Here is a 23651-nt window from a genome sequence, read left to right as displayed (position 1 = left end):
TCCCCTGTTCTATTCCTAGTCCAGATTCCTAAGATGAGGACACAGCATCCTGGGCCACTGTCACTAATACAAATTTGCCTCTGGAGGGACTCTACGGAAGATAATTCCCCTGAAATTTGGAGAGTTGAATTAAGCTAGGACTGATTCTGGCTGGAATTTGTGGTGGCTACGTACCCTAGAGGGCCTCAAGGAAACCCACGGTTCAAGACAGCCCTGACAGATTCTGGAGTCTAGAACAGAAATGGATTTGAACATGGGCAAGGCCAACCACCCAGTTCACGGCCTGTGTACAGCAAAGATTACGTTACAGCCTGAGAGCTAAGCCTGGAAGCTCTTTCATCCATCCGTTTGTCCATCTATCCATCCATCTGCTCATCCATCCCTCCATCTGCTCAACAAACGTTAGAGAATCAATCCTTGTGTCAGATACTGGGGCTGCCCTCAAGGAGCTTTTATAGAGTTCAGGGTACAGCCAGGTGGGGGAGACAGATCACTATAAAAACCTACCACTATAATCCAAAGGACAAGAGCAAAAATAGTAAAGAGGAGAGAAGACCCAAATTTGCCTGGTGGGTCAGAGAGGGCTTTCTAGAAGAGGTAAAAAATCTTCGGGGCTATCACTTCACCTTGCCTGGTGGATAAAGGGAGGACTTTCCAGATACAGTGGACAGAATGTGCAGAGGCAGGAGCCATGAGTGGCAGAGGCAGGGGAGGGACTGCAGAGACAGGTTGGAGCCAAAGCACGTGGCACTGGAGCCATAGCCAAAGGAACAAACTGTGAGACCTGGGACTTGAATTTGGAGGTGGTGAAAAGTGACAAGGTCTTCACAGAAGAGTGATTTTTTCAACTTAGGGAAGGCTGACCCCAGACCAATGCTGCCAAAGTGTGGTCTGTGGGCTGTTAGCAGTTCGTGACGATGTAAGTACAGGAATTGAGATTAAGCATTTAGAACACCTACAGCACTTTGATAGTCATTTTACTTTTTAAATTTTGAGCTGGCATTTTATATGCCTGGTTTTTTTTTGTTTTTGTTTTTTTATTTTTTTTGAGACAGTCTCGCTCTGTCGCCCAGGCTGGAGTGCAGTGGCGCGATCTCTGCTCACTGCAAGCTCCGCCTCCCGGGTTCACGCCATTCTCCTGCCTCATCCTCCCAAGTAGCTGGGACTGCAGGCGCCTGCCGCCTCGCCCAGCTAATTTTTTGTATTTTTAATAGAGACGGGGTTTCACCATGTTAGCCAGGATGGTCTCAATCTCCTGATCTCGTGATCTGCCCGCCTTGGCCTCCCAAAATGCTGGGATTACAGGTGTGAGCCACCACGCCCAGCCTTATTCTCTTTTTCTAATAGTTGCACTTTATCATATTTTACAAATGTGTGAGTCTGCTATGGATTAGAAATTAATAAGAGATTTTGCCACAGATAGTTTGAGAAGCCCAGCACTGCCACTCAACAAATGCTGGTGCATTCAGATGGTGAAATATTCTGCAGCTATTAAAGGAGTTAAAACTGCCTCCACTTACCTGGAGGCCCATCTGTGACACCTTTTTAGGTTAAAAGGAAAAGAAAAACTTGCTTAGGACTGAATATGAGCGGTTGCAATTTGTAACAATGATGTATATATACATATACATTTTCATGTATTTGTATGAACATAAAAGTATTGAAGGATATTCATCAAACTGCTAAAAGGGTTGCTTCAGAGTAACGGACTCGGAGAAGGCAGATTAATTTTCTCTTAATGGAACTCTGTATTGTATCACTTGTAAAAATAAGCATGTGTTATCTTTATGATAAAAAAGTAAAAACCTAAAAAAGAAAATTTTGATGTGTGTTAAAATTTTGGATTTCTAGGCTCCACCTTTTTTGAATGAGTCTCTCCAAGAGTGGGGCCCTCACATGTATAATGAGAAAAAGCTCCCCGATTACAGGATGTTACCAAGCCCCGCTAGGTGTAGGAACCCTGCTTGGTACCCACCCGAGCCTCAGCAGCTCCTCCCCATCATGGGCATGATGAGGTCTCCCTGTGAGGTGTTGTGAAGACGACGGGACAGGCTGCAGTAGGCACTGAATAAATGAGTCCCTTCCCCTGATGACCCTAAGGCTATGGGATCATCATCACTCCCTCCCCAAAGCCACACCTGATTATTCCAGCCAGCACTCGGCCTGCCCCTTTTCTGAATGCTTTTTGATTTTAACTTACATTTTTCGCATTTAAATGTTTCATTTAATTTGAGAAAGAGTCTCGCTCTGTCACCCAGGCTGGAGTGCAGTGGTGCGATCTCAGCTCACTGCAGTCTCCACCTCCTGGGTTCAAGCAATTCTCCTGCCTCAGCCTCCCAAGTAGCTGGGATTACAGGCGCCCACCACCACATGTGGCTAATTTTGTACTTTTAGTAGAGATGGGATTTTGCCATGTTGGCCGGGCTGGTCTCGAACTCCTGACCTCAAGTGATCCACCTGCCTCAGCCTCCCAAAGTGCTGGGATTAGAGGTGTGAACCACCACAGCTGCCTTCTTTTAATTTGTATTTTCTATCTCTGCGGACAAGACTTCAAAGGTGTCTATCACATACTTTCAGATCTACTGATCATCCTCTGAAAACCAACATCGGGGTTCACAAAATGGATTTAACCAATTGGGCTCCCCAGTTCTTCTTCCAGACTCCACCCCTCCAACAGTGTCTCCAATGACTTCCTGGCATCACTGAACAGGTCCTTCACTTTGCCACCTCTGAGCCTTTGCTTGAGTGTTTTCTTTCCCCTGGAATATCCTTTCCAACCCTATACACCGACTGAGTCAAACCTTCTGTCTTCTTTTTGAGCATTTATGAGCTCCTATCATGAGCCATGCATTATGTAAGGGACCTTACAAACACAATCAGTCTATGTAACAATCCTGCCAAGTATGCTTTATTTTGGGCATGGGGAAACAGAGGCTCAAGAGAAGTGACCTGCCCCAGGTTTCAGTGCCAGCACACTAGTAGAGCTGGGATTTGAACCCAGGTTTGTCTTTTGCACTGGATTCAGCTTCCTTGCAGACCGCAGCACCTCACATACAGCCCTTCACTGACCAGCAATTGGAGGGAAACCACCCCTGTGGCTTAAAACCTGTGGTGCCACAGATCATTCCACTCAGTCAAACCCCCAAGACCGTAGAAGTGCATTTAACACAGCAGCTCCTAGGCACAGGATTGTCACCTCAGGGCATATGACTTCTAAAGTTGCAGATTATAAACTTGTTCTCTTTCCCTGTCCTCAGGCTCCCGCTGAAGTAACCCAGACGCCAGGGATATCTCTGCCCGCTCCACTCTGACTCTAGTGCTCAATGTGCCTGCCAGGCCTTGCTAGGGATGCTGTGCCAGTGTGAAGAGGAAGGTGGTCTCCAGCTCTCACCCCATAGAAGCTTTCTGCCTCAGTTTCCCTAACCTGGAACACCACAATGACTCCTGAATTGAAAAACACTGCTTACAGCATCTAGGCTAAAATTGGCAGAATACCTGGGCTCCAAGCCAGGGAGATTTGGAGCGATGGGGAGGTGCAAGAGCACAGCCAGACAGAGCCAAAAGCAATAATATCCTGTTTGTTCCTACACTGCCCTCCGCATTAAAAAAACAACGACAGCTACATCAAGCCCTTTTGTTAAGTGGCCACAAGCTGTACATTTCTTGGTCCCAGGCAGGTATACTGGGAGTTCAGATCCTGGTCTTAATGCTCTTCTCTGGTTCTGTGACATCCTAGAATGTGAAGAGGAGGCCTTGGGTTCTGTCACTGCCTCCAGCCCGAGCCCCCTGCTCTTCCTGGGCATCCCGGATGGACCATGTCTGCCTTTCTGCTGACTCAGATTTATTTCTGGTCCAGCCATTCACAGCGTCCATGTGTCTGAACTCCTCAGCCAGAGGGCAGGTGGAAGGGCAGGAGGAGGACCACGTGTCAGCTTTCCATCCAGAGAGCCACCCCAAAACAGAGGATGTCCTTGGGCTTGGACCAGCTCCACAGAACACTCTGAACAAATTCTCACGATGCCAGGCTCCTAGGCCGCAGAAAATGCCTGTCTCCTCCCAGTTCTAAGATAGCAAAGGGTGTGCGTTACCTCAAAACCACTTAGTACGCAGCCAACCTTAATGGGCACTCTTGGCATTACTGTTCTACTCAGCAAATAGACAGTCCTAGGCAGGAAGGAGATATTTAGAATCCTACTCTGTAAAACAGAGGCCTTTCCTAGGCCTCCTGTGATGAAGGCATGGGACCGTTACCAGACTTTGTCCCTCAAGGGTAAATTGTTTTCAAGAAAACAGGAAGCTAGGAGCCATCTAGTCCTTTGAAGTGCTGTGAAGTGGGCTGCCTTCTTCCCCGCCCAAGGGAGGGAGTCTCTGAGGCTTCCTGGCAAGGGTTAGTGTGACCTCCAGCAGTCACCTTCAGCATGGGTTGCTGCTGGATTCCTGGCTCTGTGGGCAGGAGCTCCCAGAATGCTTGACACAGACTCTACGTGGCTTCCTTTGGGAAGACAAATGGAGCCTGCTGTAGGCTATGGCAGAGATGGAGGCCCAGGGCCTCTGAGCTAGGGGCAAAGTCAGTCTCCCTCCTGTGTCTGAAACCCCAGGACTCCCCATTCTGTATGGTACTCCCCCCGACCCAACCCACAGTTTCCTTAGGAAAACTGACCTGCCTATGGCCCATTTCCTAATGATATGATTTGGTCATGAGGCTGGCAGAGTCCATGGGGTGCATGTGGCACTCCTGTGCTTTGCTGTGACAGTGCCTTAACCCACAGGCGTGATTAACTCCAAAGTCTGGGGTCTTTGGAAAAGGTGCCTATCAATGCAGAGGAAGTGAAGTGCTCAGACCGCCAAACAAGGCCAAGAGCCTCCCGGAAGAGCCTGCCTGTCAGGAAGTCTCTGGCCACATGCTGTGGCCATGCTCGCCTCTATGAGAGGACAGAGAGAACAGACCAAGGACACGAGTTCAGAACAGAGAAAATGTGAGAGCCGTAGACAGGAAAAGCAGCCCTTCTGGAAACAGCACACTGGTGTACCTAGCGTAACCTTGTCCTGAGGGCCACTAACTGCCCCTCACTTGACTCAGCTGACACTGTGAGGGGTCACGAGCCTGGCAACACTTTCTGGAAGGTCTAAAGGGCAGCACTGAGGAGACCTAAAGGTTTTGGTCTGTTTGTCAAATGTCACTCTTCCTCACATTCGGAGGAGAGCATTTGAAGGCAGACCACTCTAGGGGCAAGAACAGGACTGATTTTAACCCCGGGACAACCAACCAAGCAAGCAAGCTAGTGAAGAACAGGCCTCTGCCCAGGTGAAACACGTGGGGCCAATTCCATAGGTTTTTTTTTTTTTTTTTTTTTTTTTAATTAACCTCCGGTGGGAAAGGTAAGGATGGTGGGGAGGGGAGACGGTTACTTGTCTCATTATCAATGTGTTAGTATTAGTGACGGCAAAACTGAATCTCTAGCAATACTATTTGCCCGTTTAAACTGGGCCTGGCTATTGGGCTTATGAGCAAATAGCTTCTCAAAATTTTAATTTTCTAGTTAGTTCATCCCAAGTCACTGATTTACATGTCTTTTGAGACTGAGACTGCTGGGGAAAAACATTCCCAGAAATGAGTGGATTAGACTCTGTGAATTACAAGGGAAAGACACTTTAAGTTTAAAGTTGTCCCAAACTTAGCGTCAAAATACAGCCTTTAGATTTTTTTTTCCATCGAGAAAAATTCCTGATTCACTACCAAAAAGAGGCCCTGCAGGCAGCGTGCTGATTTGTTCTGCTCCTGGTGCTGAGCTGCCCCCACCTGTGTGCAGGGAGGAGGGGTCGCTTCGGCCAAGGGCGGGAGCTCTGCTGGCTTTAGCGAGTCACCATTGCCTCCTCGCAGTCAGCGTCCTAACGGGGTCCCCGTCTACAGCCCGGCATCCACTCCTCCAAGGCCCTTCACACTGGCTCTAGCCATGACCCCTCTTTGGAGGAATAAAGCAGAGTTTCACGGACTCACCGACCTTGAAGCCGGAGCCTCCCACGTCCTGCTGAGCGCACACAGCCAAGAAGTGTATGCAGGGCGAGCTGGTCGGGCCGGCCTGGAAATCCTCCCTGGCGGGGCGGGGCCAGAGGACCTCACCAATCCCAGCGTAGACCTCCGGGCGCACCGGCCCCCACAGCTGTACCCTTGAAGGCAGGCCCGTGGGCGCTGGGCCCTTTATAGCACCTGCCCTTTCTCTGAAACGTAAAAGGCGGAGCCAGTCTTGCTTCCCAGGCCTGGTCCTGGAGGCTCCTTTGCCAGGGCTCTGGATCTCAGAATGGAAGGGCCAGCAGGTGAAATTGCACATCTGTTGGGGGATTTGTTTCTCTCTTCTCTCAGGTGTACCAGCCTTGGGGCCCTGGTGAGCTCTGGAGGATGAACCCCTCAAGCCAAGGTCGGAGAGGAGGATGTCTCAAGCTGCCTGGCTCCAGCAGCTGACCGGGCCCTGAGCCAGGGGCTGGAGGGACCTCCTTCCAGCGTCTTTGTCTGGGACCTGGATCCAGGGACAATTACAGTCAGGTTTCTGTTCAAGATCAGGCCCCCTGCAGTAGATGGCTAGATCATCTCGCTTTCTGTCCACACCAGCTTAACCCACGGCAGGCCATAGCCCTGCTTAAAAATAGCCCCGCTTGGGATATCCACCGCACGCCGGGAAGGCTGCCTGTAAATAGCAATGACCCAGCAGGATTTTGGACAGCAGCCCTGCCATTTCAAGGGAGCCTGCCTAGGCATCTGGTGACCGTCACGTACTCAGCTTCTGAGGCCACGTGGACATGACCAATTGGTTCCTGTCTCTTCCTTCTCAGAGCCCAGCTCATGCTCAGAGGACTTGATGGAGCAAGGGGTGGAGCCCCAGGAATAACCTTCTACCCAGTGTGGTTCTCCTTCATTCTCTGAAGGAGTTTCCATTTCTTTTAAACACGACCCATGTTTAAAAATATCATCTATTTTACCTTTGCATGGGGTACTGACAGGGAGAGCACGTGAGGGGGCCTTTTGGCGGGATGGGAAGTTTCCTGATTGGGGTGGTTATATAAAGATTGGGACCAATCAAATTAATTTCATAATCCTTTAAGGAGTCAAGACCCACCAGCTTGCATATTCTATCATCAGGGCAGTCTCGGTTTATTCCTTCTCAAAATAGCTCTTTTCCACACACACTTGTTTCAAGTCAGTTCAGGCACCAACTGAAATAAATCCATTGACCCTGAAATAGCCCAGCTCCCAGATCCAGAAAATTATAAGGCTTTTAAAGAGCATGGAATTGTAGATTTAAAGAATGGCAGTTATAGCAAAAACCTCCTTTTCCTCCCCAATTGCCTAATCAACATTTAGGGCCCCCTCCACTCACCCGACCTCAACACCTTATATTTTATAGAGTAAATGTTTATGTTAGTAAGGTCAGAAGAAAAATTGGGTCATTGTTGAGAAAAGAGGGTACCACCCTTCTTTTGGGGGACTGGTCCTCTTCAAGCTTATTATAAAGGTGGTGTGATGGGGATGAAATCTCTACAAGGGACTCACAGTAGAAATTCTGGCTTTCTGGAAATCTTTCAAATGCCATCCCTGTCACATGGCATCTATTCCCTTCTCATCGTTACCAACTCCTTTTGAAGCTCTGGGGCTCTAGCCACACCAGGCTGCCCTGTGGCTGGCTTCTGCCATAAGGGCAGGAACAGAATTGAAGTGTGCGACTGCCATATCATTTGCTTTAAAGGAAAATGTCCTGGACTTATTCTCTTTTCTGTTCCTGAGTCCAGCAGGAGTGTGGCTAGAGCAGGCCCCAGATTTGACCTCGAAGGCAAGGATGACGCCTTGTGGGATGAGCAAGTAATAGGATGAAAGGAACCTGGGTTCCTCTGTCGCACCAGCCTGGATTGCTCATTTCAGAATTGGGCAGGAGGGACCCCTTTCCTTAGTCTATTCTTGTGTCCAGCAACTGTAACTTAATTCCATCAGCTCTAAATGTTGCCACAACTTCATAGAAGTTAAAGTATTTTCATATATAGTAATCCATATAACCACTGCAGTTATTTTAGGGGTAGACAGGAGTCTTATTTCAGAAGCCCCTCCTAGGTGGAGCCTGGTGACTATTAGGCCAGGACTCTACCCTGGCGGCTTCTCCTCTCTCCACCACCCATTCAGGAGCGTTGAGCTGCTGTGCAATGGACTGAGCTGTTCCAGGTAGTAGTGAGTTCTCTGTGCCTGGAGGTATCAAATATAGGCTGGGGATGTCACAGGAAGAATCTAAGCACTGCAAAGAAAGTGTGATTAGTTGATCCTTCGTATCATTTCAAAGCTTTCCCCAAATTCTTTGAATTTTAGGGCCTCTTCTAAACTGTTTTTCTCCCTGAACTTTAGAAGTAATATTTAGAAGTAAATAATATATCTGAAGGAGTTCACTGCTATGAAGAAGATGTAAAATAAAAATAAAGCCCCTAGGCCCCCAAGCAAAACAAAACAGACTCATTGTGGTAAAAAGAGACCCCAGGAAACATTAAAAACCAGATTCTACAGCTTTGGCAAGGCAAGAGGTCAGTCACACCCAACGCTCTCCCACCTCGATAACTGCCTCAAGACTTTCTTTCCTAAAATTAAACTAAAACCAGTTACTGAAAAACTATGTCTGGAAGATTTCTTCCTCAACTTCAACAGACAACCTGACGTGGCGAACCCCCCCTTCCCTCAACGCAGTTTCCCCCTGACAAGTGTTCAGCCTTACAAAGCACTCCATCCTCATAACTGACCACAGACCACAGCCGGTTCTGGCCGGTTTACAGAGATTGCACACCAAGCGTCTTTGTGCCCTGTGTTCCATCTTTTGACATATAGAGCCCAATTTTACTACATTTTAAGTCTCCATCCCAAAGTGAACATGGGTTGTATGTAACATGTAACATATATGATTACTGGCTATGCATGCATTAGGGCCTCTCATAAATATTCATAAGATTATCCTATAACCTACTAAATGTATATGTAAGGCTCATCTTGTTGGGCATAAATCTCAGCCTCTCCCTTTTTTATCTGAAGTGCTTGCTTTTGGCTTTGGCCAGAGGCTCCAGCCTGCAGATTGTAACCCTTTATAAGAAATTAAGTTCTATTTTTTCTAAATGTATACATTTCATGGTTTTAAGTTGACAATGTAGAAAAATGGGGGGAAAAAGAGTTAAATGAAGAAACCAGTGAGATTTCTGAATATTCAAGAAAGGTGAAGTTTAATTTGCATATAGGCATAACCTACACCTCACTTGGCAAGTGTTAGGCCACAGCACAAACCCCTCTGTCCAATCACAAATGTCCACAAATTTGCAAAGTAACTGGACACGAACGATATGCTTCTCAAACTCACACACATATTCGTCCATCACACACACACTCAAATGATAAAGAAATACATTGAAATCCTCTACAAAAGAGATCTGAGGACAGTAATCAGATGACCTCATGTGCGGACAGCACTTTGCAGTTTACAGTCTAATCCATTTGGTCCTCACAATAGCCCTGTGAGATAAGCAGCACAGGGATTACTATTCACACCGTTTTGCAGATGAGGAAACTGAGGCTCAGGGATGTGTAAACACCAGCCTAAGGTTTTCCAGTTGGAGACTGGGCCTAGGACTCAGGGCCGGGATGCCTAGGCCAGCTCTCTTTCATAACTGGCTTTCTAGTGAAAAATGAAATGAGCTGTGTAAAAACCAACATCATTAAGTATAATAGAACTATTATTTTCCTTGAGCAGATCAGACTAGTGCTATCAATCCTAATGTTAATGTCATGCTGCATGGCAGCTGAGATGAATAATTTTCTGAATCGTTCATGTGTTTATACCTACAACAAAATGACTGTTTTCCATTTTGGCTCTGCCTCATCTTAATTTTAAGTCACCAATGGCCGCTGAGAAATGACACACTGATTAGATTTCATTGACTTAAGTCTTCTATTACACGGTGGTATCTATAATGGAGCCATTAAACTTACAATCTGATTTCTTACTGAAATGAAAAAGAGTTTTATTTATTGATTCCCTCTGTGCACATTAGCCTGGCTATACCCTTCAGCCATAAATAGTATGTTCTCTTTTATGCCTTTTCGATAGTTGTAAAAATAATACATTTTGCAATTGGATTTTTAAAAACCTTTATACTTTAAAGTGAAGAGATTTTTTTTCAAGGGGATAAAATCAAACTTTGAAAAAAAAAAGCTAAGTAAAATCTCTTGCTTTTAAATAAAAGTTAATTTTATTGGGAATAATCCCTGTATTGCATTACTCTTTTCAGTTAAGAATTTAAAAGCTGCCCAATCGCTGCTGGCCCAAAAGTCTCGTCTTATACAATAACATGAGAGAAAGGGTGCTGATCCATCATTATTCACTCCACATGGGACCATAATGGATTTTTCTCTTCCAGGTGATTCAGTTTCTCTGAGTTTCATTTGTTTATAAGTAGTACTTTAAGACGTACTGAAATTTAACAAACAGTAATGGGACTTGGTATGAGAGCCACTTGAAAATATTGCAATGGCCGTTTAAAATTCCGTCTTTAAATTCCTTCAGAAAAGCACTAAGGAAAAGTGACGACGTTTTACTTCATGCCTGAATCTGTCAAATAATATATTGGATTAGGTAAGAGATTTGTCCCTGTAGCAAAACTAGATGTCTCAGTTAATAACGAAAAGGCATCCCCTAAAAGCTCCAAGATAATTTCGTTGACAGTACAAAATGTGGGCATTCATTCGAAAGCATGAAATTGGATTTTTCTTCTGATTTTCTAGGTTAATTTTACAGTATACATGTTCGCTACTTGGCTGTTAGAGGTTGACCTCCCATCTCCTCTTAGAAATGGGTCTCCATAATGGACTAGAGGCAGATGCAGCTGGGAATGCATGCTTTGTGTGTAGGCAGAAGAGGATGGGTACTTTAACGACCAGAAAAAACACTGCAAATTGCTCTTGGGGATTTTTAATTTGACCAAATTGAAGGGATTTTAAAATGTGCATTCCTCTCCCAGCTGGCACACGAATAGTGCAGGTCATCAACAGACACTCCCTCAGAGGTGGAGCTCTCTCTCTTGCCCTCTTGCAGCTCCAGGAAGGCTGCAGACTCCAGAAAGTGGTGTAATTCTCAAACAAAAATGCGAAAGGCTAGTGAGTGGCACACCCCTGCAGTCCCAGCTGCTTGAGAGGCTGAGGCAGGAAGATTGCTTGAGTCCAGGAGTTCGAGACCAGCCTGGGCAACATGGTGAGACCCTGTTTTTCAAACAAACAAAAACCCCCTAAAAGTCAGCATAGCAATTGACAGTGCCTAATATGACCAGTGCGGGGCAGTTCCAACATCCTGCAGGAAATAGGCGCAAAAGCTTTGTCACTAGTTGAAGAAAAGCTGCGATCCAAAAGGGAAGGAGCATTTGGAAACTCCTGTCTTATTTTTTGTTAATAAGAATGGCTGCAGTGTCTCTGGAACATTTGGGTCAAAGAAATGAGTCCGAACTTCCAGAAAAAGTGCACACAGAACCATCCCTTTCCCTCTGAAGGACTCTGGCAACTCCAAGGCAGAGTAGAATGCATGCACCTTTCCACGTGTTGTTTGGCCCGAAACTAGTATGTGTGTGGTCCTCTCACAGATTTGTCCCGGTTTTAGTTCACCCTTCAGGACTATGCTTTTGAGCCATGAAAGCTAACCTTTACTTTTCTTCTGCAAGACCTTGAGGTGTTTGGTGCAACTGATACATATTATTTCAAACCCTCAGTTTCTGGAGCACTGAGAAATAAATCACAAGTTATGCGTTGTTAGGATCCAAACAGCCCATGCTTCTCATCATGCATCAAGATGCGTCAACCTCTTATTTGAAACTAAAGAGAACAAACAAGCAACTTTAAAAAAGAAAAAGAAAGCATCCATAAGGAACCCTCCTTGGGTTGAGTGCTACACTGTTGGCTAATATGAACTATTGAAAATATTTTGGGAATGGTCTTCAAATATTATATTTTCTTTTACTTAGTTGATATTTCACTATATAGTTACATACAGAGATGGCACTTACCGTGCAGAAAGTGTACATTCTCTACCTCTATGGTGCATTACCAATGCTAGCTCTTTCACTGAGTCTTAAGAGCCAGCAGGTGGAATTTATTAGTCTGTTAGCTCTAGCAACATAATTAAAGTGCAAGGAAAGAGGGAAAGCAGCCAGACAGATCCATTTTTCATTGTCAGCATCAATAAGTTTCATGCTGCTAAGAGAAAATGTCAGGTGCAACAGGTTCAGGGAAATAGAACTATATTTTTTCTCTTCCTTCTTTTAAAGCAGCAGTCTCCCTGAGAAGAGAAGAGGGAGGTAAACAATGAGATAGCCCTATTTCTTCAACAACTGACAATCTTGGGAAAAGGAAGGTCACTTCCCCAGCCTCAGGTAGCAGGACTAACCCTTGCATTTGGTTTTGTAATGTAAGAGCTGTTCGGTGGTTGGGCCCATTTCCCATGCACTTATAATATTCTCAGAGATCTCTCAACATCAGTTTTTAAAGAAAGAGATCTACGAACAGCATATGGAAGTGTGGGTTTTGAAAAGAAAATTTCACTAAACTGTTTAAAAAAAATACAGCCAATGTTCATAGTAAGCCTAAAAAAAGGTCTGTGTAAATGAGAATAGATTCCTGCAGTACTATGAGTGGGGAAAGAAAACAAACAAAGCAAGGTGCAGAGATGATTTTTAGGTATAGATTTTCACTCAGCACTGAAACCCATGATTCCCCACAGCACTTGGTGGCCTTCTGTTCCACAGTTTTGTCGGTGAGATGGGCGTGCACCTTTTTGCAGCTGCCTCTCCAAAAGGGCTGGCTTCTTAGGACCAACAGTCTCAAGGAAAAGCTCCCCACCCACCTCAGCCAGCCACTGTCTGGAATCCTCTGGGGCACAGCCTACTGCATTTAATTAAGGAAATGTTACATACAAATCCATTTGTGTTTCATTCTTTCTTTCCTATCCCATTGCCTAAAGACTGGAAAGGCAGTTTCAGAAGGTACCATTCCTCACATAGAAATATTTAGAATGCACTGACAACCATGCACATGCTGTAGACTGAAATTGCTTATGTTTTGGTCCATCTCTGTAGAGGAAGTGTCAGCTTTTCTGTGAAGCTTATACCAAAAGGAAATGTAATGGAACCAGTCAAATCCTAGAAGATTGGTAGGTGTGCCCAGGCCAGTAAAGCGCCAGAGAAACATCACAGGTCTTTTTCATGGATCCTTGTCCCTGAGTTCTAACAGAACATGGACAGAGTTTAAAATTTACCGATTTACCTGCTTTGTTAAAATGGCAACTAGCATCTCCCATCTGACATTCCCTTATGTAAAACGTGCCACCAGCTTTCTAAATAGCCATCTTTCACCTTCCCACCCAAGTCTGAAGCATCTGTCTTTGACCCAAACAGCTGGGTTTCTCTCTGGAGACAGAATTCCAGTCTGGTTCCATCTTCTTTGGTGGAGAAAGGAGCCTGGCTTCGTGCTGTACCGTGATAGGCAAGGCATACACAATTCTGTCTGTCCTGCTTTCCATGAACATCCCGTGGACTCAGGGGCAAGGCCAGATCTTCAAGCAGGGAGTCGAGGTTCAATTTTTAGTGACAGCTCATATAGCGTATCTTCATCTATGATAAGGTCTTTGTCAAGCAAGTACTGTGCGACCTGAAAAAAAAGGGGAAGTCCCAGCTTTTACCTCTTTCAGACACCAGTGCGTACATTTTCTGACGGAATCTAACACAATTCAACATTTTCTCTTAAACAACTAAAAATCTTATTTGACCAAAAAATCATAAATATGTTTCCATTGTTAAAAAAAAAAAAAAAAAGGTGAACATCTCTAGTCCTCTCTCAACCCCCAATCCCAGGTACCTCCCTCAAGAGGAACTACTGTTACTAATTGGTTTGTTTTCTCCCAGTTGTTTTTCTATGTCTTTATAGAGATTACATGTACTTACAGAAATCATTTTTCCCCCTAAAATTGGCACCATGGTGCACATTTTATTCTGCTTTCATCTCTTAATGATAGGTTGGAGAGAGCTCCCTGTGACAGTAGATAGAGCTCTAACTGCTATACAGTATTAATAGTGCAATATATTGGAGCTTATTTAATAATCTCATATTGATAGATGTTGAGTTGCTGTCAATACTTCACTGTTACACAAAGTTTCAGTGAATTCCTTGTTAGCATGCTTCCTGGAGTGCATGCGTGAATACTCTGCTAGGCTAGGGTAGATATCAGAAGTGAAAGGAAAGGAATTGACACTAGAAATGAATATGTTGGGGCATGGGGGATTTTCATGAAAATATTTCTTTAGTTTTATTGAAATATAACACACAAAAGTGAAATAGATAGTTTGATCTGTTTTGACATGTATACACCATGTAACTTACATACATTTCATGATAACAATTTCAGCATCCCCAAAAGTTCCTTCATGCACCTACTCGGTCAATCTGCTCTTGGAATCAAGCACTGCCCTGGTTTCTATCACCACATATTAGTTCTGTCTATTTTGGAACCTCATATCGATGGGATCATACAGTGTGTACTCCTTCATGTGTGGTTTCTTTCACTCAGCATAGTGTTTTGAGATTCAGCCTTGCTGTGGCCTGTACCAGTAGTCTGCTCCCTCTCATGGCTGAGTAGTAGTCCATTGTAGAGATATACCATAATTTGTTTATCCATTCATCTGTTGATGGACACTTGAGCTCTTCCCAAATAGGGGCTATTATTTAGAAATGTTATGAACATTTTATACAAGGCTTTTAATGAGCATGCTTTCATTTTCCCTTTGGATAAACACCTAAGAGAGAAATTGCTAGGTCCTAAGATAAGTGCTCATTTAACATTTTAAGAAACTTCTAAATGGCACAGTTTTGCAAAGTGATTGTTCGATTTTATTCTCACCAACAATGGTAAGAGTTCCAGTAATTCAATATACCAATTTTTAATTTTAAATGATGATGGAAAATGACCTGCAAAGCTTCCGCACCTACAGTACATGACAGTACCTGTTTTCCTATACCCTAAGCAATGTTTGATATTATCAATCTTTTAAATTTTTGTCAATCCGATAAGTGAAAACGATGTCCCACTCTAATTTACATTTTCTCTTTTTACTAGTGAAGTTGAGCATTTAAAAAATATTTATTGGTCATTTTTTTTCTTCTATGAATTAACTATTCACAGGTTTACCAGTTGAATTGTTTATGCTTTTCTTATAGATTATGGAAACACTTTTATTCTGTTTCTTTGTTGTATATGTTGCAAATGTTGTCTCATTGTCTACTGCTTATATTTTGATTTTTAAATAATGGTCCTCTGTCATATAGAAGTCCTTAATTTTCATTAACTTTATCAAGCTTGGCTTTCACAGCTTTTGCATTCTGTGCTTAAGAAGGTCTTTCAAATCCAAAGGTCATGAATATTTTATCCTTTATTTTATTCAAATAATATAAATACTTTTTAAACTTAGGTAATGAACTCATCTGGAATTTATTTTTGTGAATGGTAAGATGGAGAGCCAAAATTCCTGTTCTATTTATTGAATGGTCAGTTTCTTTCTGGCACTTTCTTTGAGTGCCTTCTTTATCTCGTATTAGATTTTCAGGTAGACTAAACACACACATGGACTTTCTTCTGCCCTACTGGATTTGCACTGCTGTGCCAGTAGAGTCCTGAATTTTTTTTTTTTTTCTGAGACGGAGTCTCGCTCTGTCGCCCAGGCTGGAGTGCAGTGGCGCAATCTTGGCTCACTGCAAGCTCCGCCTCCCGGGTTCACGCCATCCTCCTGTCTCAGCCTCCCAAGTAGCTGGGTCTATAGGCGCCAGCCACCACGCCCGGCTAATTTTTTGTATTTTTAGTAGAGACAGGGTTTCACCGTGTTCGCCAGGATGGTCTTGATCTCCTGACCTTGTGATCCGCCCGCCTCGGCCTCCCAAAGTGCTGGGATTACAGGCGTGAGCCACCGCGCCCGGCTGAGTCCTGCCTTATTTACTCTCACTTTAGGATGTGGCCATAACTGGTAGGGAACACTCTCCTTTACTATTCTTATTTACCAAAAAGTTCTTGTCTGTTTTTTGCCTATCTATGCCTCCCTAAGAGTTTCAAGATAAGTTTGTCAAGTTCCATGAAAAACCTGTTGGGATTTTGACCAGGATTTCAATGAATTTATAGATTAATTTGAGGACAATGGACCTCTTTACAATAGTAAGTGTTTTGATCCATGAATATGATACAACTTTCTCCTTACGTACTTCAGTACATAAAGGTCTTACATATTTCCTGTTCCACTTAATCCTAGTCATTACAGATTTTGTTGCTATTTTGATTGAGGTTTTTTATATTACATTTGAATTGCTTATTGCCAATGTGTTGAAAATTGGCTTTTGCATGTCAAGTTGCTATACTCCTTTAGTAATTTATCAGTTTTTCTTAGATTTTTCTCTTGGATTTTCTAAATCAAATCGTCTGTGAATTATAGTATTTAATCTTTACCTTTCCAATTTTTATACCTTTTGCTTTTTATTGCTTCATTGCCGTGGTGAATTTTTTCCTGTTCAAATCTGAATAGTAGCAGTGATGGTCACAACCTTGTCTTTTTCCTGACTTGAATTAACTAATTCAAGAAACATTTATTATCTACTATGGTCCAGGCACTGTGCAAGATGCTGGGGCTATGACAATAAACACAGTAGGTCCAGCTCTGAACTTCATGGATATCATGCATGTGCACATAATCACACAAATAAATGTAAAATGGTGACTCCAGCAGTAAGTGCTAGAAAGGAGACTTACATGGTGCAATACAACCTTAAGAGTGGAGTGGGGATTGGGAAAGTTAGGAAAGTCTTCCTAAGTGATACTTAAGCTGTGTACAAGTAAACTGTGCAATGAGGAAGAAAGGGCACTCCAGACAGAAGGAAGAACATAGGTAAAGGCCTTGTGGCAGACAGAAATAGGGCAAAACCTAGGGGCTATTAAAAGAAAGTGTGTCTCTCACTGTTGGAGAGGGAATTTACAGATAAGCAAATGTGGGGAGAGGGCTGGAATGATTCACATGGTAATAGAATAGAGTTGGGGGCATCAGTATATTTAGCTTAATACAAATACTGATGGTTACATAGAGATATATTTATAAATAGATGTGTATAAAATCTATACACACATAGATTCCTATGCTCTGTCAGCTGATACCTCCATAACGCAAGCATATCTAAAGCCCATATCTTGGTTGCTGAAACCATTCTCCAAAAAAAGGAACTAGAGCTTTTGGCAGAAATATCTGAAACTAGGACGGGGGCAAAATATAAAAGATGAGTCTAGAGCATCTTTTTTCTCCCCCTCCAGAGTCAGCGTGTTGCTCTGTTGCCCAGGCTGGAGTGCATAGGCTGGAGTGCAATGGCACAATCTTGGCTCACTGCAAACTTTGCCTCCTGGTTTCAAGAGATTCTCCTGCCTCAGCCTCCCAGGTAGCTGGGATTACAGCTGCCCGCCACCATGCCTGGATAATTTTTGTAGTTTTGGTAGAGATGGGGTTTCACCATGTTGGCCAGGCTGGTCTTGAACTCCTGACCTCAGGTAATCCGGCTGCCTTGGACTCCCAAAGTGCTGGGATTACAGCTGTGAGCCAAGGCGCCCGGCCACTTTTTGTAGAGACAGGGTCTCACTATGTTGCCCAGGCTGGGCTCAAACTCCTGGGCTCAAGTGATTCTCTTGCCTTGGCCTCCCCAAGTGCTAAGATTATAGGTGTGAGCCACCGCACCTGGCCTGGAGCATCTTATACTATCAGAAAGTAAGAAAGTCCTCAAAAAAGAAAAAGAGAAAACCCTACATGGATTGGGGTATGACAAAGAGGTCAACTGAAAGAGCACCCGATGGCCAAGCTTGGAACAGTTTCAGCAATAGAATAAAACATTATTGGATGACAACCCTAAGTATCAAATCCATTAGTCCATACTGATATAAATAAATGATTGAATAAATTAATAAATGGAGAAGAAACAAATCTCTTGAGCAGAAGAATTCCAAGTAATTTATGTAGATATTTCGCTCTCAAGGAGAGGCAGGCATAATTCTCCATTCCTTAGGTGTGGGGTGTTCATAGTGACTTCCTTCCCAAGAATACAGGATGAGGAAGGAAGGAAAAAGAATAACTTTACAGTGGAGACACCCAGCAAACACTACCTTAGCCAGGCGATTCAAGCTAACATCAACAGTCAGAAATTAGGTTGATAATATAACCCCTGATATGATGTGATGAAAATGGCACTTCACCTCTGGGGTCTTCCTTCCAATAACCCATAACCCCAGGCTAACCCTGAGTAAACATCTGACAGATTTCCACAGTGGGCCATCCTGCAAAATACCTGACCTCTACTCCTCAAAACAGTCAAGGCCACCCAAATTAAGGAAAGTCTAAGAAACCACCACAACCAAGAGGAGCCTAAAGAATTTTGACAATTAAATGACATGTGGTGTCCTGGATGGGATCCTGGAGCAGAAAGAGGATATTAGGTAAAAAATAAGGAAATCTGAATAAATGATGGTCTTCAGTTAATAATAAGGTATTGGCTGAGAGCAGTGGCTCACACCTGTAATCCCAGCACTTTGGGAGGCAGAGGCGGGAGGATCATGAGGTCAGGAGTTCAAGACCATCCTGGCTAACATGGTGAAACCCCGTCTCTACTAAAATACAAAAAACTAGCCAGGCGTGGTGGCGGGCTACTCAGGAGGCTGAGGCAGGAGAATGGCATGAACCCGGGAGGTGGAGCTTGTAGTGAGCCAAGATCGTGCCACTGCACTCCAGGCTGGGCGACAGAGCGAGACTCCATCTCAAAATAATAATAAAGTAATGTATCAATATGGGCTCATTAAGTCAAACAAACACATCATACTAATGTAAGATAATAATAGGGACATTGGCTGTGAGGTATATGGGAATTTTCTCTACTACCTTCTCAGTTTTTCTGTGAAGCTAAAACTATTCTAAAAAAGTAAAGTCTATTAAAAAATGGGGTAAAAGACCATTTGTGACTAGGATGGAGACAGTAAGGCGGTATATGATGTGAACTGAACCTTAAGAAAAAAGTAGGGGCCATATAATGCGAGACTTCACAGTCATGTCAAAGATTCTTAATTTTTTTTAATCCTAAGACCAACGGGAAGCCAGGAAAATGTTTTATGTAAGGGAGAAAATAATCCACTTTGCATTTCAGAAAGCTCTACCTAGCTGTAATTTGTAGAATGAATTTTGCATCCTAGAGTGAATGCAAGTAGAGCAGGCAACAGATATCGGCAGCTTGGACCAAGGGTTCTGGCAGTGAAGACAAATGGAAGAGGATTCACAAGAAATATAAGAAGTAAAATCAATAGAACTTGATGATGAATTGATGTTCTTTTTTTTTTTTTTTTTAATCAGACTAGCCAAAGATTTTCTATTTTACTGGTCTTTTCTATGAGCTAGCTTTTGGTATTTTGGATCAACTTTTACTGTTGTTTTCTAATTCATTAATTTCCCCTTTTTTCTTTATTAATTTCTTCACAGCCACATAATATTACCTTTGGCTGATGATCTATTCTGTAGGAAGTCTGCTGGAACTGGCGTATCTCTCTGATGATGTGTGATATCTAACAGAGAAAAAAACAAAACAAAATGACAACAACAAAAGCAAAGAAAGGTATTTCCTGCATTGCAGCACATTCTTCTGAGGCCTCTTCCCAGAAGGGTCAGTCCCTTCCTCCAGTGAGGCGGGTGGAGCCTGCCTGACCATTCCCTATGGTTGGTGCTTTCTTGACTCTCAAGGAGGCACATGAAATGCCAAAAGCAAAAAGATACTGAATTCAAAACTGGGGAACAGCTGGCAATATGTGGCCTCATGTTTGGGAGAGGCAAGCTCTGGGTGCTGTCATCCGTGGGCTCCTTGCTTCTAGCTTAGTGCTTAGAACCTGGCTGTCCAGGCTGGGCATGGTGGCTCATGCCTGTAATCCCAGCACTTTGGGAGGCCGAGGTGGGTGGATCAATTGAGTTCAGGAGTTTGAGACCAGCCTGGCCCCAACACAGCGAAACCCTGTCTCTACTAATAATACAAAAATTAGCCAGGTGTGGTGTCGTGGGCTTGTAATCCCAGCTACTTGGGAGGCTGAGGCATAAGAATTGCTTGAACCCGGAAGGTGGAGGTTGCAGTGAGCCGAGATCATGTCACTGGCCACTGCACTCCAGCCTGGGCAACAGAACTGTGTCTTTAAAAAAAAAAAAAAAAAAGAACCTGGCTGTTTAGCAAGAAGCCTTCAGCAAGTGTCTATCACTGGTCAGTCTTAGGAAGCCATCCTTGGATTCCCCATCTCCTTGGGGATGCTGAAATGGCTTTGCCAAAAATCTCCTCAATCAATACTTAGGAATATACCTAACCAAGGAATCGAAAGACCTCTACAAAACACTGGTGAAAATTACAAAACACTGCTGAAAGAAATCATAGACAACACAAACAAATGGAAACACATCCCATGCTCATGGATGGGTAGAATCAGTATTGTGAAAATGACCATACTGCCAAAAGCAATCTACAAATTCAATGCAATTCCCATCAAAATACCACCATCATTCTTCACAGAATTAGACAAAATAATTCTAAAACTCATATGGAACCAAAAAGGAGCCCACATAGCCAAAGCAAGACTAAGCAAAAAGAACAAATCTGGAGACATCACACTACCTGATTTCAAACTATACTATAAGGCCACAGTCACCAAAACAGCGTGGTACTGGTACAAAAATAGGCATGTAGACCAATGGAACAGAATAGAGAACCCAGAAATAAATCCAAATACTTACAGCCAACTAATCTTCAACAAAAGAAACAAAAACGTAAGGTGGGGAAAGGACACCCTTTTCAACAAATGGTGCTCGGATAATTGGCAAGCCATATGTAGGAGAGTGAAACTGGATCCTCACCTCTCACCTTATACAAAAATCAACTCAAGATAGATTAAAGACTTAAACCTAAGACCTGAAACTATAAAAATTCTAGAAGATAACATTGGAAAAACCCTTCTAGACATTGGTTTAAGTAAGGATTTCATGACCAAAAATCTCCTCAATCAGCCCACATCGGGTATTAGTCCCAGTATCCACCTCCTCTTCCACCGCAAGATTAAAAAGCAAACATTGGGCCGGGCCTGTAATCCCAGCACTTTGGGAGGCCAAGGCAGGCAGATCACTTGAGGTCAGGAGTTTGAGACCAGCCTGGCCAACATGGTGAAACCCCCTTTCTACTAAAGATATAAAAATTAGCTGGTCGCCAGGTGCGGTAGCTCACTCCTGTAATCCTAGCACTTTGGGAGTCCCAGGCGGGCAGATCACGAGGTCAGGAGATCCAGACCATCCTAGCTAACACAGTGAAACCCCGTCTCTACTAAAAATACAAAAAATTAGCCAGGCGTGGTGGCAGGTGCCTGTAGTCCCAGCTACTTGGGAGGCTGAGGCAGGAGAATGGCGTGAACCCGGGAGGCGGAGCTTGCAGTGAGCCGAGATTGCGCCACTGCACTCCAGCCTGGGCCACAGAGCGAGACTCTGTCTCAAAAAAAAAAAAAAAATTAGCTGGGCATGAGGCACACAACTGTAATCCCAGCTATTCAGGAGGCTGAGGCAAGAGAATTGATTGAACCCAGAGGCAGAGGTTGCAGTGAGCAGAGATCGTGCCACTGCACTCCAGCCTGGGCGATAGACTGAGATTGTTTCTCAAAAAAAAAAAAAAAAAAAAAAAGAAGAGAAAAAAAAAAAGCAGACATTGACTTTTATTACTTAGCCTCTTCTCTATAAACCTCTAAAGCCATTGAAACAGGCTAATTATGAAATTATACCTACCATTCTCATTTTGGAGAAATTGACAAGGCCTTCCTCAGTAAAGTTTGGTGTTCCTTCTTCAATAAATGCCAGGTCTGTCAAGTACATCCCAAGATAAGGAACTGCAGGAGGGTTACAACTGCAAGACCAAGAGGCACTGTTCTGAGACTCATTTGAATAAATGTCTATTTCCCTCCCCAAATTAAACAAAGGAGGATTAAAGTATCCTCCTTTGGTACTGAAGAGCAAAACCTTTTTATTTCAGTTTCAGAAGCATATTCATAATACGCAGAATTTTAAACACATTTCACAGTAGAATATAATACAAAATGACAGCCCCTGCTTTACTACGTGTTTGAAAAAAAATGGCATATTCAAACAACAGGATATCTTAGAGACAAATACAAAGCATTTGCTAGCAGTAATTGTTTGCAATACTTGTAAACTGCCCACACTTTTTTGAGGGGTAGAAGCTTGGAGGGAAACCTCTATGGTCTTACCTCTTTAAATCAAGTATTCAGCCTTGATGAACTAGATGGAAAAATCCATGCAGTTAGAGCTTTGCACTGGTAAAAACTTGTTTTCTGTTTTAGTTGGTACTTAAATGTTTTAGAAAGTGTAGACTTAACATCACAACTCAGACTAAGGTGAGACACTGTTTTGTTTGGTTTTTAGAGAGAGCTGGGTATACTTGGTCTTCTCAGAGGCCGGAGGCTAAGCACATGGGCTTTTGATGCGGGAGGAGCTGGGTTCAAATCCCAGCTTGACCAATTACTAAGTGATACTGGGAACATTCTCTGAACTGCAGTTTCCTCTTCTGTAAAATGGAGATAGAAAAGCTTATCTCTTGAATTTCTTGTGAGGCTTACATAAGACACATCAAGCACTTAGCATGAAACCTGTCATTTAGTAAATACTTTGGTAATTAGTTCTTATACTATTATTGCTGTTGTTGCTATTATTGCTATTATTATTATTATTAGTCTTAGTCTTGCTTTCACTCATACCATCACAGGACTCATGTTTTTCCAAAGTACATGTGGTAGATCATGAGAATACCAGTTGCAGGAGAATCTCAAACTCTCTCTCTCTCTGCGTGTGTGTGTGTTTGTGTGTGTGTGTGTGCGTGTGTGTGTGTGTGTGTGTAGAAAGGGAATAATCTAGAAACCAAAGATCAAAAATAATAATCAACAGGTGCTGGAATATTTAAATAAAACTCACAGGAAATAATTGTGCTTAGATTAGGAAATAACTGAATCAAGAACATTTTTACAGTAAAAGATAGTCCGATTTATTATGGTGGTATTACCTTCTTAATTCTTAATCTGCATGCCATGAGTATATCCATAAGACAATTACTGTATGCACAGTATTCCAAATAATAAGGACAATCAGAAAAATACCTAGATGATACAAGTTGTTTCCCATTTATTTTTCTTTTCAAAGCAAAGTAGGTGGTAGGTCACTGTTTGTATACTATATACATTATGTAAATATATTTCTGAATTATGAATAATTTAATAATTAAGATAGACATACTTTTTAAGGGTTTCTCTAAGATTTTTAAATCTTCCTTCAGAGGAAACAGTCTTTTGAAGTTTGTCCATTAGAGCTTTTGTCTAAAAAGAAAAGAAAAAACTTAGTGTGATGAAAATACTATGGTTTAAAAAGACAGTGAATTGCCAAAAGATGTTCAGTTCTCTTCTTTGGTGACAGGTGCTGACACCTTTGCCAGAATAAAGGTCATTGTGTGATAGGATTCTAAG

General features: G+C 43.1%; 2 protein-coding genes and 1 long non-coding RNA gene across 11 annotated transcripts in view; 1 reads left to right on the top strand and 2 right to left on the bottom strand.

Annotated features, from left to right (window-relative positions):
- The window catches only part of CKMT2-AS1 (CKMT2 antisense RNA 1), a 64005-nt gene extending 62190 nt beyond the window's left edge, over positions 1–1815 (top strand). For 2 of the 3 annotated variants that reach the window (NR_034123.1, NR_034121.1), the window contains one exon: positions 25–1815. This is a non-coding gene — a long non-coding RNA (CKMT2 antisense RNA 1). Of the gene's footprint in view, positions 1–19 lie in introns of all 3 variants that reach the window. The other variant, NR_034122.1, reaches the window with a different exon arrangement.
- The window catches only part of CKMT2 (creatine kinase, mitochondrial 2), a 33077-nt gene extending 27019 nt beyond the window's left edge, over positions 1–6058 (bottom strand). For 2 of the 3 annotated variants that reach the window (NM_001825.3, NM_001099735.2), the window contains exon 1: positions 6003–6058. The gene's annotated coding sequence lies outside the window, so the exon portion shown is untranslated. Of the gene's footprint in view, positions 1–5998 lie in introns of all 3 variants that reach the window. The other variant, NM_001099736.2, reaches the window with a different exon arrangement.
- The window catches only part of RASGRF2 (Ras protein specific guanine nucleotide releasing factor 2), a 269800-nt gene continuing 255366 nt past the window's right edge, over positions 9218–23651 (bottom strand). For all 5 annotated transcript variants that reach the window (NM_006909.3, XM_047417464.1, XM_047417463.1 and 2 more), the window contains 4 exons: positions 23425–23504; positions 21907–22024; positions 19602–19670; positions 9218–13702 (listed from right to left, as the gene is read on the bottom strand). In NM_006909.3, the coding sequence (NP_008840.1) occupies positions 13610–13702; positions 19602–19670; positions 21907–22024; positions 23425–23504 (360 nt within the window). In that variant the 3' untranslated portion in view covers positions 9218–13609. The remainder of the gene's footprint in view (positions 13703–19601; positions 19671–21906; positions 22025–23424; positions 23505–23651) is intronic.

This window comes from Homo sapiens, chromosome 5, assembly GCF_000001405.40.
Source record: "Homo sapiens chromosome 5, GRCh38.p14 Primary Assembly".
Taxonomy (NCBI): Eukaryota; Metazoa; Chordata; class Mammalia; order Primates; family Hominidae; genus Homo; species Homo sapiens.
The sequence above is the reverse complement of the archived record's forward strand: the minus strand, read 5'-3'. Positions and strand labels throughout refer to the sequence as shown.